At 47.0% G+C, this 14,736-nt stretch overlaps 1 long non-coding RNA gene across 1 annotated transcript, besides 1 other annotated feature; it reads right to left on the reverse strand.

Moving 5' to 3' along the window:
• Window positions 1-241: 241 nt before the first annotated feature.
• LOC124904919 (uncharacterized) lies at window positions 242-6,309 on the reverse strand. The gene is made up of 2 exons (XR_007067617.1): window positions 6,162-6,309; window positions 242-763 (listed from the first exon to the last, which is right to left on the reverse strand). It is a non-coding gene; the product is annotated as an uncharacterized LOC124904919 (long non-coding RNA).
• Window positions 11,830-13,029: an enhancer, noted in NCBI's record as "MED14-independent group 3 enhancer chr20:45405530-45406729 (GRCh37/hg19 assembly coordinates)". NCBI's record gives its function as "activates an origin of replication core promoter dependent on BRD2, BRD4, P300/CBP and CDK7 cofactors, and independent of MED14, by STARR-seq in HCT116 cells {active_cell/tissue: HCT116}" and the evidence as "EXISTENCE:reporter gene assay evidence [ECO:0000049][PMID:35650434]".

Genomic DNA, 14,736 nt, shown 5'->3' on the forward strand with positions numbered 1-14,736 from the left:
ATATTTTTCTCCCACCGCATTCTCTCATCCTTTCCCTGGGATGCTGGCAGGTACTGGGTTAAGCAAAGCTCCGTGGAAGCCAGAGAAGCCAGCTGATATAAAACCTTTGTATATGCTGTCTGCTATAGGATCCAATTTAGTATTGATATTCCCGTTTTAAAAAATAATAATTTCCATTAGATTGAGACCAGAATGCCCCGTGAAGCCCAGTGTGGTTTGCCAATTGATTCACAGAATGAAATCTTATCTAAAATCTTTTTATTTTATGCTATTAGGGACGCAGGAGGGAGCAGCCAAGGAAAAAAATCTCCCTGCTTGGTTAATGCACAGGGTCAGCTGGAAGTGGCCCTAGGGCCGTCTTAAAAAGACTGTCATTTGCGATTTCCCACTCTTTTGTTTCACATTACCAGTAATTGACATTTTTTTTCTTCCCTTCAAGTGGAGTTAATGGATTGACATCTTCTTGTTAGCACCTTGGATCTTTATTGAGGACTCCTTCCTGGGGCTGGCATCACCCCCAAGTGCCCTTGGGAGGCCTGGGGTGGTCCGTGTGGTTTGCCCACATTTCTCTTGGCGGCCCTTGGCAGCAGGCGGTGGGAGGGAGGTTGAGGGAAGGAGGGGGTGTGTCCCCCACCCCCAAGTCCACAGGCCACACGGCTCTGAACCTTTGGAATGGCATCTCTCACGCTGAACATACGATGACCCAGGAAAGGGCAGCCTTGAAGGGTTGCCTGCAGGAGGCCAGCCTTGTGCAGATGCGAAACTGGGCAAAGAGAGGAAAACTGTCAGCTTCGCGTAGGCGAGAAAAAAAGATGATTTTTCCCTTTCACCCCCCATTTTATTTTCCTGTAAAGATAATAAAAAGCTTTGACTTCCATTATACAAGTGACAGACTCTCACTAGAGAAAGCACAGCCGGCCACTGCCCCTGGCTCTGCTCCAGCCACAACGGCCCCTAGCTGTTTTCTGTGCACCCTTCATTTGCTGTTCCCCTTGCCTGAAACCTTCTTCCCCCAAACATTCTCACTCTCTCCTCTCCTCCCAATCTTTGCTCGAGCATCTTTTTCTCAGTAAGGCCTTCCCCACCCACACCTGCACCTGCAACCTGGCACTTCCTGTCTCCTGCCTGGCTTGATTTTGTTCTCCTAAGCACACATCAACCCCAGCCTGATGTATATTTCACTTAGTTAGATGTTCATCATCTGTCTCCACCTGCCAATTCGTTTTGCATTTTATAATTCACTGTTTTATCTTCAGTGAATAAAATAGCATCTGGAACATAGTAGATGCTCAATAAAAAATTCAATGACTAGAAGAAGAGGGCAGAAAAAAAATCACTCCCACTTCTTCATATTCAGCCTTTGGTAGTATTTGGTGCATTTGCTTCTTATCTTTTTCTATATATAGGCTTCCGTTTTTATTTCTACAGTGGAGTTCCCCATACACTGGGTTAGGCTATAAAGATAAATGCCTATGGAGAAAGCTGCAAAAATGCCCATGAAAACCTCTTATATTGCTCTTGAATGGTTTTGTCTGTACATAGAGTAGTTGGTTTGCATTTGGGAGGTATGTAGCATGGAAATTACATGTCTCGAAACACCAGAGTTGTTTGGCAGAAAGAGATGCTCTCAGGAGAGGTAGGACTCCGTGAAGGCCTCCAGATTCACACCACCCACTTCACACTCAACAAGTGACAAATAGTCATTAAACTAGAGGAACTGCCTGCACTGTTTAAGTGATTTTTTTTCTCTCTTGTTTCTTTTTAAAAACGAATATAGCTGAATTTATACATGTGTAATGTGCACAGAGGCAACTTTCCTATACGCAGCTCCAATCATACCTGTGAAAATAATTTTAATCCTGCATAATTATATTGTACTCATTTTCTACATCACTCTAAACACTTCATAAATATCTCTAACAGCTGCATTATCTGCCATCAGGGCATCCTTTCATCTACTCAGCCCATCCCCTATTCTCCTACATTGAGGTTGTTTCCAATTTTTCACAATAATAAATAACACAGAAGAAACATCATGCCCAATACTCTACTGGATTTCAGATTCCTTATTTGGGTCAAAATCAGGGAGATTTATGCAAGTGGGAGCCCAGGGAATCAGTGTCAGATTAGCAAAGTGAGTAATTGCTAGGAAGATAGTTTTGTCTTGAAAGTGAGGTCAGAGTGCAGCTGGGTGGGCTGGCGTGCACCTGCCCTCTAGTTTAGGCCAGCATTCCAGGGAGAAAGGACTCCAGAGCACACTGGAAGAGAAGCAACCTGACCACTAGGGGGAGCCAAGTGGGAGTCTGGGTTAAAGAGAGATGGTATTAACCAAGATATAAATTGGAGCAGATAAGGAGGATAATTAGGAACAGCATTAAAAATAATAGCATCAACATACATCATCAACATATGCTATTATTTTACAACCCTCGGCCCAAGGTTATGGCTCCGTGTCTGTAAAGTACCAGGCATTGTACCAGTACTATATGACCCTCATCTCTAAGCCTTTAGCAACCTTACAAGGGACAAATCACTATCCTTCCCTATTCTTGTTGCAGAAGTGGAAATTGAGGCTCAGAGAGGCTAACTGATTCACCTAGCATCACACGCAGAGCCAACATTCTAACTCAGGATATCAGACATCAAGCCTCATTTCTATTTCTATATCCTTTAAAAATCAAAATGCAGGTCAAAAAGATCCAAGGCTATGGCCAGGAAGACACAGCATTGTCTAGAGGACAAGAACGTGATGGTTAGATGAGAGTAAATGATATGAAATGCTGAGAGGTGACACGGACATGGAGGCCTCCATTCATTTGGCCAAGAGTGGTAGACTTGATGGCGTGGTCACTGCCAGGTGTGACCATGGCATGGGGTCTTGTGCCAATGCCTTCCTTCCACCTCCTCACTTTTCCCCACCCTGCTTTCTGCCCAAGAGGCTCACCTGCATGGGCTCCACCAACAGGCTCCCATGGGTGGGTGTGCTCTGGTTGCGTTTGGCCGATAGTGACCTTTAGCAGGATGGGAGGAGATACGATGCAAAGTAGAAATTTATTCCCTGTCCCTGGCCTGCAGAGCTACCTGTGATGGCTGCCTCCCTCAGCCCAAGTCATGGCTCTGTGAGGTGGCCCCCTCCACGTGGCTGTCATTCCAGGAGCACCTCTGTGTCAGAGGCACCGTCCCCATGGCTTTCCTCCACCCTGCCCATACTTTGTAAATAGAAAATCCCTTCCAGTGACTCTGTTTAGCTGTGTCCCCATATCTTCCTCAGATCCTGGCTGATAGAGACCCCCATTCATGCACATTTACTCTGTCCTCAGTTTTCTAAGGTGAGACTGCAAACCGGTGGCCCTGTTGGTTGAATTAGGCCATCACACATGCCTCGTGGTCTGTGCAGTGCTTAAAAATCCTTTCAAATTAGTTTGCAACCTTTAACCATTGGGAGAGTTAATGCAAAAAATTCTAAAATTTTGGCTTTGCTGGAAAACAAAGCAAAACAAACAAACAAAAAATGGTGGGGGCTCCCTGGCCACACGGGGCTTGCCTTCTTCTCTCAGGATCACTTTTAACCACTTGGGAAGAGCTTTGCAGCCTTCGAGGCCTTTTCAGGTACCCCCTCCCATCGACTCCTCTTCCTCATTGACGTTACCTGCCCAGCCCTGGTAAACATGGAGTTTATGACAGCCTCTCAAGCCTTCCAGATGTGGCCTCACCAGCCTTTATGGGGCTGCTTGTGAGAGAAACCAGAACTAGGAGTGGGTTCTCGGGCGGGGGCACAGCTCAGAGGGCAGTCAGTACCGAGGAAATGGAGATGCGGAGATGGCCATGAGCTTGGCGGCTGCACTGAGCTGGGGCAGCAAGGTCGCCGTTATATAGATCAGCCTGGGGAGAGAGAGACTGTGCTTTGATCGTGGGCAAGGTTAGTTAGATTTGGGAATAGCAGCCTCTGTAATTAGCCCCTGGTAAAGAGCTGAGAGGCAATATGAGAGCGTGTCCAAGAGTCCATCTCTGCGATATTGAGTTCAGATGGAACCAAGGAATTAGAAGGCTCTGGATAAAATGACCACCTCTGCCCTCCTCTCTGGGCTTTCCTCTAGAGCTCTGGGGGCAGGTAAGCGTGAGAGCATGCCCTTGACCTTCTAATGAGATGATGCTGCAAATTTCCTCCCAATTGGCTTATCAAGTTTACCAGCTCCCACTCACCCAGTGCAAGCTTTGGCCCAGAGAGAGCTCCCTTCATTGTCAACATGCCAAGAAAGCATTCTGAATGGTTCCCAACACACACGCAAATCCCAGCACAAGAGAGACGTGGAGGGCACATGGAGGAAGACAGTTTGAGGTCCTAGGATCTGTGGTCAGACTGGGAGCTGCACTGCAGGACAGGCCTCCAAAGTTGGTCACAGAGCCCCTGAGTTGGTATCCATGATCTTCTCTCTTGGAAAACTTAGAGAGAGTTCAGTTTTGCAAGCACCTGAAGGATGCTTCAGCCTTGGAGTCTGCAATACAGTAGGGTGGTCACTGTCATCAACATCAGCTGTGGGAGCCTGACAGACTTCAAACTCATCCTCGTTCCTTAAAGCCAGTGCCTTTAGCAATGTCATTAACCTGTGTGGGCTATTTCACTATCTGTAAAGCGGACGGTGGTCACAGCCACTAAGTCCTTGCTGCTCAGAGTGTGGCCTAGGGCCAGGAGCATCAGCATCCCCTGAGAACTTGTAGAACCACAGAATCTCGAACCCAGCCCCAGCCTCACTGATTCAGAATCTGTTTTCACAGGCTCTCCAGGTGGTTTTGATCAAACTCGTAGGGCTTTTGGGAGGAGTATATGCAGTTCAATAATGCAACAGTTTTGTTTGTTTGTTTGTTTGTTTGTTTTAGATAGGGTCTGGCTCTGTCACCCAGGCTGGAGTTCAGTGGCGTGATCTCACTACAACCTCCACCTCCCGGACTAAAGGGATCTTCTCACCTCAGCCTCCTGAGTAGCTGGGACTACAGGTGTGTGCACCACCATGCCTGGCTAATTTTTGTATTTTTTGTAGAGATGGGGTTTCACCATGTTGCCCAGACTGGTCTTGAACTCCTGAGCTCAAGCAATTCGCTGCCTTGGCCTCCCAATGTTGGGATTATAGCTGTGAGCCACCATGCCCAGCCAATCCAACACATATTTCTTGAGCACTTACTATGTGCCAGGCTTGGTTGCAAATGCTGGGAGTACAGCACTGAACATGGCAGATGAATCCCAGCCCTCAAGGAATTTACTTTCTAATGGGGTGTATTAGTCCATCCTCATGCTGCTAATAAAGACATACCCAAGACTGGGTAATTTATAAAGGAAAGAGGTTTAATGGACTCACAGTTCCACATGACTAGGGAGGCCTCACAATCATGGCGGAAGATGAAGGAAAAGCAAAAGGACTTTTTACATGGTGGTGGGCAAGAGAGCATGTGCAGGGAACGCCCCTTGGTAAAACCATCACATCTCACGAGACTTAATTACTATCACAAGAACAGCACAGGAAAGACCCGCCCCCATGATTCAATCACCTCCCACTGGGTCCCTCCCACAACACATAGGAATTGTGGGAGCTACAGTTCAAGATGAGCCAAACCATATCATAGGGAGAGACAGACAAACAAGAGACAGACAAACGGACAAGATGAAAATATAAAATACAGGAAATGGGGGATGGTGCTCAGTGGGAAGGAGAAAAATAAAGCAGTGCTTCCAGGTGGGACCCGGCAGGGAGAAGGACTATAATGGCAAGTAGAATGACAAGAAGGTGACATTTGAACAGTCACCTGAGGAAGGTGAGGAAAAGTATATTCCAGGTGACCAGAACAGCACAGACGAAGTCCCTGCAGCAGAAGTATGCCTGCTGTGTTGGAAAGATCTGTCAGGATGTCAGTGTGGCTGGAATAAAGTGAGTCAGCAGAAGTGCTGGAAGGTGAGGTCAGGGAGAAGTAAGAGCAAGGGCGGATGATGCACAGCTTTAGAAGCTGCTGAGGGTCCTGGCTTGTCCTCCAGTTCCTGATGCCCAGGAATGGGCAGGGACCCACTGGAGAGGGGCTGGAAGCAGTGGCTGGCACGTGGTAAGTTCAGGGACCAGCATTATTGTAATCGTTGCTGTTATCCAAAGCTGATAGAAACAGGTTGGACTCACCCTTGAGGTTTCAGCTTAGGTGTCCCTTCTCCAGGATTGCTGACACCCCAGGCTGGAGGGGGTGCAGACCTGAGAGCACCTCAGCCTTCTGAAAGCTCCTGGGTGAGGCTGGGATGGGGAGCTGGCCAGCCCTATTCACGATCGTATCTCAGAGCACAACACTGTACTTGGCATCTAGTAGTTGCTCAATAAATACCTGTCAATTAGAGGAATGAATACATACAAAGACTTGGGGGTGTCGGGTGGGGGACGTGCTCAGGAAAGGTGGGGAAGTGGCTGGGAGGAGTGACAGGAGTATTGTTAGAAGTAAACACCTGAGCTTTGTCCATTCAAGGTGCCCTCTGGAGCCTGACGCCCAGGAACGAACAGGGTCAGGGTGTTGGTCATCTCTGATCACACTGCTGGGTAAGGTAACCCAGAGGCCACCAGGACTCTGTGCCAAGAAACCCTGGGCCTTTGTGCTGAACTTGGCAGGCTTCTTGTCCTCCTCTGGCTCATTTCAGGGCCACCCCATGCTTTAGCCCAGGCTCCACCATGAAACTTTCTCCCCCACGGAAATGCTTGGGCACTGCTGGTAAAAGGATGGCCCCTCAGGAGAGCCACCAGGCAGCACTCAGAGAAAGTGACAATGCACAGGCTCTCAACAGGCAGCCCACCCTCTGGGGCAGGGCCCAGAGCAGCAGTTCTCAACCTTGGTGATCTTGCACCCCTAGGGACACATGGCAATGCTTGGGGACATTTTTGTTTGTCACAGCTGGGAAGGAGGTGCTACTGGCATCCAGTGGGTGGAAGCTCAGGGTGCTGCTAAACATTGTCCAATGCACGGGACAGCTCCACAGTGAGAATTATCCGGTCCACAGCGTCAACAGTCATTATCCCTTAAGGAGCCTTTTAAGATTTTTTTTTTCTAATTCCCCCTTTAATGAAATTTTAGAACTATAGAGATATTGCATACATATCTGTTTGTGTGCTGTAGGTATATGTGTGCTTTATACATAAAAAAGGTAAGATTTGGCTGGGTATGGCAGCTCACGCCTGTAATCCCAGCACTTTGGGAGGCCGAGGAGAGTGGATCACCTGAGGTCAGGAGTTCAAGACCAGCCTGACCAATATGGTGAAACGCTGTCTCTACTAAAAATACAAAAATTAGCTGGGTGTGATGGTGTGCACCTGTAATTCCAGCTACTCGGGAGGCTGAGACAGGAGAATTGTTTGAACCCAGGAAGTGGAGGTTGCACTGAGCTGGGATTGCAGCACTGCACTCCAGCCTGGGCTACAGAGAGACTGTCTCAAAAAAAAAAAAGTAAGATTTTTAAGTGTCCATTGATGGATATGAATAGTATGAATAGATAAACAGAATGTGCTATTGTACATAGTGTGGAATATTATTCAGCCTTAAGAAGGAAGGAAATTGTGGCACATGCTACAACATGGATGCATCCCGAGGACACTATACTAAGTGAAATTAGCCAGTCCCCAAAAGACAAATATTGTGTGATTCTACAGTATTTGTAGAATATTGTATGATGTACCTAGCGTAGTCAGAATTCTAGAGATAGAAAGTAGAGTGGTGGTTGCCAGCGTCTGGGAGGGCGGGGAATGTGGAGTTAGTGTTTGATGGGTAGAAAAGACTTCTGTGGATGGACAGTGGTGACAGTTGCACAAGAATGTGAATGTACTCAATGCCACTGAGCTGCACATTTTAAAATGGCTAAAATGGTCAATTTTATTTTATGTGTATTCTGCCACAATTTTAAACAAAGAGTATTCCGACGCGTTAAGAATCAGTTCTCGCCCGCCAGGGGGCTGTATCACCCCCATTGAGAATTCACAGCCTAGAGATCCTTGCATAGGACCTACAGGTGTGGATGTTCATCGCAACATGGTTGGGGGTGGTGAGAGCTGCAGGCACCCTGGGAGTCCCTCCCTTTGATGGTGGGAGAAGTTCTTAGGAAGAATGGGCCCACCTGGACACCGCAGGTGGAAAAGCTGGCGGAGAGATGCTCTTGCTCATTGCTCAGAGGCATCGTGACCGCCCCACACTCATACTCTGCAGGTTTTTGGAAAATCCAGGCTGGGCGCGATGGTTCACACCTGTAACCCCAGCACTTTAGGGGGCTGAGGCAGGAGGATCGCTTGAGGCCAAGAGTTTGAGACCAGCCTGGACAATACGGTGATACCCCATCTCTACAAAAAAGAGAATTAAACAGACATGGTAGCATGCACCTGTAGCCCCAGCTACTCAGAAGGCTGAGGTGGGAGGATCACTCGAGCCCAGATGTTCCAGGCTGCAGTGAGAACCCCTGCATTCCAGCCTGGGGGCTGGAGCGTTATAGTAGGTAGCTGGTCAGGTATGAGCAGGGCAGGAGAGGATCCTCCTCAACACACACCAGGAGTGTCACGCAACCATCAGGTGACGGTCAGGCAGTTGTTAACTGGCTTTCTAAAGTAATAATTGGCCACAGCTGGCATGAGGGAAAGGCAGTCCCTTAATAGATAGAAAACACCTGAAATGGGTGGCCAGAGGCTTCCCAATAAGATCTCAGGAGTGGTGAGAAGGAACGCAGGACCCCTGAGGCTTGCCACCATATCAAACCCCAAGTCAAGAGGTCAGGTCGCACACTTGGTCTCTCGAGTTGCCCGCTTGGCCCTCTTCCAAGTGCACTTCCCTTTCTTTCATTCCTGCTCTGAGGCTTTTTAATAAACTTTCACTCCTGCTCTAAAACTTGCCTCAGCCGCTCCTTCTGCCTTCTGCGCCTCGGTCGAATTCTGTCTTCTGAGGAGGCAAGAACTGAGGTTGCTGCAGACCCGTACAGATAACTACTACTGCTAACAAGAGTGAGACCCCATCTCAAAACACAAAAACAAACCCATACACGGCCAAATTAGCTTCCTCATCTCCTCTAGTCAACAACTCAAACTGAATTTTTCAAACTGACCTCTTTGCTCTCAAAATTCTGTTTTTGCCTTTGTTGCTTGAAACAATCTAGGAACATGAGTCTTCTTCATGTCAGAGCTAAACAGCATGCAGATAACTAGCTAAATGTTTCAGAGTCATTCTTTGACCATAAGTAAAATGTGCCAGGTGTGCACTAAGCATCTTATGGGATGGTTACAAGCAGTGCCCCAGATGTGTGCACAGCAGTACAGAGAGGTCTTGACAACACAGCTCAATGCCATTTTACATAAGGTAAAATAGATGCACACAAAGCAATTATAGGTATTTTGCAAACTGCCTACAAACAAAAGGATAACTCAAGCGTGCCAGGGGGAAGCAGGTGAATGGGGAATGGAGATTAGAGGAACTAAATAGATTTATAAACACGAGCACAGCTGTGGGTTGCTCCCAAGATGAAAAACAAAACAAACACACACACATAAACAAAAGAGGGAGTCTATCACATAATGTGGCACACTTAAAACACACACACATACAAAAATGCTCGCATATGTTATCCCGAATCATACAAAATAAAAGAAAAAGAAAACACATCTGGGCAGCTGACAGTGGCAGGAGTTGGAAGCAAAGGATGGAATAAAATAGAATTAACACATGAATGAACAAATCAACCAAGGGTTAGAGCTTGTCTGAACCAATTATGACAATATGTCATTGAAAGGATTTTTTTTTTTTTTTTGAGACAGGATCTCACTCTGTTGCCCAGGCTAGAGTACAGTGGCATGATCATAGTTCACTGCAGCCTCCACCTCCGGGGCTCAAGCAATCCTCCCACCTCAGCCTCCCGAGTACCTGGAATTACAGGAGTGTGTCACCATACCTGCCTAATTGTTTAATTTTTTGTGGAGATGAGGTCTCACTATGTTGACCCGGCTGGTCTCAAACTCCTGGGCTCAAATGATCCTCCTGTCTCAACCTCCCAAAGTGCTGGGATTACAGGTGTGAGTCACCACCCCCGGCCGACAGAGGAATTTGACTAACCCTACCTTCATTCCCCAAGGTCCATAAAGTGCCCAAATAGCCATATAAAGCACCATTGCAGATTCACCTGCGTTAGTTAAGACCTGTTAGTTACAACCAACTGATACCCACCACATTGCCTGAAACCCCTACAGGGCCACTTTCTTATAAAGAAGGCGTGGGGTGTCCTGGAGCCCTGAGGCTGCGAGGCCAGTTGGCTTTATGCCAGCTTGACTCAGAGGGCACCTATCTCTGTGGCTTCTCTCAGTCTTCCTCTCTGGGTCTCTGCTCTCTTCCCTCCATCTTCGGACCCACTTTCTCTGCTTTTACTCACAGAATAATAGCCATCCTTTCTTGTGCTATTTATTTGCAAATAAATGCTACCATTTATTTGCCAGAATAAGTTAAAGCTTTATTCGTTGGCTTGGAGACATTTCTATGAGATATTTTTGAATAAGAAAAAAGAATAGAATGTAGAAAAGAGTGTAAAATAGAATCCCATTTTTATAAAACAAAGACTGATGGAAAAATCCCAATTAATTCGCGTATATTTGTGAGTCTATACATATGTATCACATAAAAACACAGATGCAAATATAAGCACAAATAAAAATAGTTTGAAAGAACACATGCTGGGTTGTTAACCTGGGTCTCTAGCACTGGGCCACAGGGATAATGTAGATAAAAGAGTGAGGAAATAGGAATAAGGGAATAAGGAATGCACATCATTACATGTATTCCTTCATGTAAAATTATGTATAAAGAGATTATGCAAAAGATTGAGAGAGAGAGAGAGAAACATAAAAGTGAAGTGAGACCAAGATTCAAATCTTTACGTCACATTCCACATTCCCAGGGAAGGACTCTGATTGGTCCACTTTGGACCAATCAACTGTGACCAGGAAGCATAGTCATTGGATATAAGTATTAATATATCTGTTCCCACTTCATCTGTGCAGCTAGGGGAGGAGGAGAAAAGTCCAGAAACCTGGGGGGTGGGGGAATTAGTCACATGAAGTAACAGTTTCCACTAGTTTTTGCTTTTTTCTCTGCATTCCTGGAAACCTTAAAAAGAAGGATTGGAGAAGGAAGGGGGCATAAAACAAGTAAGATCTCAGGGAAGCTTAGAAACTAAGCCAGTGAATGAGGTGGGGACAGTACACACAAAGGTTCTGTGACAAGGCCGAGCCTGGAACCATCAGGGGTCTTTAAGTAATTCCAGGTGGCTGGAGAAATACTGAGAGATGGGAGGAGAAAATACTGAGAGATGGGATGGAAACAGAATCAAGCCAACCATGAAGGACCCTGGGCATCCCTGGTGAGTGACGGGTTCAACAAGTTTATGGGCAGGTCAAGATGGTCTTACAAGCCATCAGAAAGACTCCGCTTTTCCTGGAATGAGATGGAAGCCACTGGAGGGTTTTTTGTTTGTTTGTTTGTTTGTTTTCAGATATAGGGTCTCACTGTGTTGCCCAGGCTGGAGTGCAATGGGGCAATCATAGCTCACTGCAGCCTTGAACTCCTGGGTTCAAGCCATCCTCCCCACTCAGCCTCCTGAGTAGTACTACAGGCATGCACTACCACACCCAGCTAATTTTTTTTTTTATTGTTTTCTTTAGAGACAGGGTCTCACAATGTTTCCCAGGCTGGTCTTGAACTCCTGGGCTCCAGTGATCCTCCCACCTCAGCCTCCCAGAGTCCTGGGATTACAGGCATGAGCCGCCGTGCCCAGCCAGGTTTTGAGCAGAGGCAGGACATAGTTCCACTTAGGTTCTAACAGGATTCTCTAGCTGCTGTACAGAGAAGAGGCTCCCCAGGCAAGGACAGAACCAGGAGACCAATGAGAAGGTGACCGCAGTAGTTCAGGTGAGAGACGGTGGTGGCAGTGGACACCAGATTCGGGATGCTTTTTAAGATTAGAGCCCACAGGATTTGTTGATGGACCATTTGTAGGGTGGGACAGGAAAAGAGGCCCAGGAAGGAGGTACCATTGACATTTGATCCCAAAACTCAGCCAGACCAGATTGAAAAACAGATTGAAGTTGGTCACTCGCTTATCTCGAGGAGTTTCCAAGATGAGAGTTTCAGCCTGTCACCCCAGAAATACAGTGAGGCCATTAGTTCCCCATCTTAATCAGATCTCTCCCATCCTATTAAGCAATTTGGGGCCATATCTGGAGAAGATTTTGTTATTTACCTAAATCTCTGGCTGCTTCATTTAGACCTGGTGTTTAGGCGGAATGCAATTAACACATTCCAAACCTGGTTTCCCCTAAAATCCAATCAACTGTAACTCGTTTTCAAATCACACTGCTTTCTCTAATTGTGAACCTCAGCCTCCGCAGAATAGCGATTTAAGTCAATTATTGCCTCGCTTGTATGAAAATTGTGCTATTTATGTTGGCAGCTCCCCACATTACTGATGAGCTTCCTCGAGCTAATGGAATAATGAAAACACAAAACAGATTTACCATTCTTAATAAGAGAAAGAGATAATGAAGGCAAATTAAAATGGAGGCTCAGATCTGCATGGAGAACAGGTAATGCAGTTTCTTCTTTGAAATTAACACTCGAATTCTCAAATGCCAATGGCAGGGAGGGGGAAAGAAACTCAAAATTCCTTTAGACACAAGTGTGCCACTTCAGCTTGGTTTTGAAGATTGTGGTCCTCCCCGGCACTTTCTGGAGTTTAGATATGGGACGCTGTCAGCAGCCATCCCTGCTGGCACAATAGCCCACGCGCTCACCTCCTCCCCCATTTATGAGCGAAAACTCGCTTTCCACCAGACACGACGTTCAGCTCTCTCATGCCTTAGGTCATTAGATCCTCTCCAAGTTCTATGCGCTCAGTAGCGTTATCATTATTTCACAGAAGAACCAGTTAAATAATTTATCCAAGGCTTAACGCTGCATGTGAATCTAGCCCAGGGTCTCAACTGATTGTTGTTTGAGGCTAGCTAATTCTTTGTAGTCGGGGGTGGGGGCTGTCCTGTGCTTTACAGGATCATTAGCAACATTCCCAGATTCTACTCACAAGACACCAGTGGCAGCCCCATACCTCCAGTGATGATGACCAAAGATGTCTTGAGACGTTGTCAAATGTTCTCTCCGAGGCATAATCACCCCCGGCTGAGAGCTGCTGGTCTAGATTGTGTGCTTGTCAATCAACCCGAACAGCCAGTCTTGCCGGTGTAAGCAGCAAGAGGCTGAAGGTCAGGAAACCCGCATCCTGGATCTGTCCCCACCTCACATTGTGGCCCAGGGAAAGTCACAGTTCCTCATGGGGCCTGGGTGTTCTGACCTGCCAAATGAGTGTGATGGCACTGGGACCTGGAACCTGGCTTGGCTAAAGAAGTTTGGCCAAGGTCATTGAAGACCTTGGTCAAGTGAGAAGCAGCAGGCCAAGGTGGGGCGGTCACAGGGGGGAAAGGTCAGAGAGATGTGAAGGGCAGCCAAGCCAGAGGGTCTATATTGGCAAGAAGCAAGGTCAGCTGCGGTCAGAGGGGCCAGAGACCTGCAAAGGCCAGAGCTGACTCCAGGAGGCCGGGAGAGCTGAACATCTGCCTCCCTCCCTCTTCCTGCAAAGGCCAGAGCTGACTCCAGGAGGCCAGGAGAGCTGAACATCCAGCTCCCTCCCTCTTCCTCCTCTGCACCAGGCATTGGGGTCTTACACCTCATTTTCCTGTGCTTTTGCTGTGCACTTTCCCATTTACTACAAATAGATGCTTCTGGGCCTAATTCTGGGGCTAATGAGACTCAGACTGGTGATTATAATAAATATAAAAATGATAGAAACAGATACGAAATGCTGTGCAGAGCCCTCCACTGGCTTCACGGCCTGCATCCTCCCAGCAGCACTGTATCCTTATCGTTATTAGCCCAGAGGGACAGCCCATTGCTAGGTGTCACAGAGAGAAAGGAGAGAAAAGAGAGCCTTTGAGGCCGAGGAGAAAGAAAGAAAGAAAGAAAGAAAGAAAGAAAGAAAGAAAGAAAGAAAGAAAGAAAGAAAGAAAGAAGGAGAAACTTGGTGGTAATGGTTGTCATTTATTGAATGCATACTGTGTGCCAGGCCCTGTTCTAAGCACCTGACTTGGTTTTGCTCATTTAATCCTCACCATCACGTTTAATCTCCACTTCATAGTTAGGCACAGAGAGGTTAAGCCAGTTGCCAGGTTTGCACAGTTAACTAGTGGTAGAGCTGTGATTTGAACCCATAGTCTGGCTCCAGATTCTGTGCTCTTGACAGCTGTCCCTCAGAGCTGATGGCTCTGTGCTGCACCTGGGAAATTTAGTCCTCAGCCATGGGGGCCCCTGAACCCACCCAAGGTTTTGTGCTTTAAACACAGCATGAATGATTGGGGCCTCCTGTCCTGGAGGGAACATGTGGGAACTAGACAACCCATTATGTAGGGACTTTGCACTGATAACAGTGCCCCCGCCCACCACTCCCATGGCTTGGGCTACCCAGGATATTCGCACAAGCATTGGTTGGGAACCCCAAGAAGGACTGAGTTTGGCCTCCCCAGCAGTTCACTGACTTGACACATGGCTTGGAGACCAAAAGAAAGTGCTTAATAAAAACAAAACAAAACAAAAAACACCTGAGTTTGTGAACCAAGAATAATCCAAGGACGATACTTGGTCAGTAAGAAAAGT

The sequence above is a fragment of the Homo sapiens genome, chromosome 20 (assembly GCF_000001405.40).
Source record: "Homo sapiens chromosome 20, GRCh38.p14 Primary Assembly".
Classification (NCBI taxonomy): domain Eukaryota; kingdom Metazoa; phylum Chordata; class Mammalia; order Primates; family Hominidae; genus Homo; species Homo sapiens.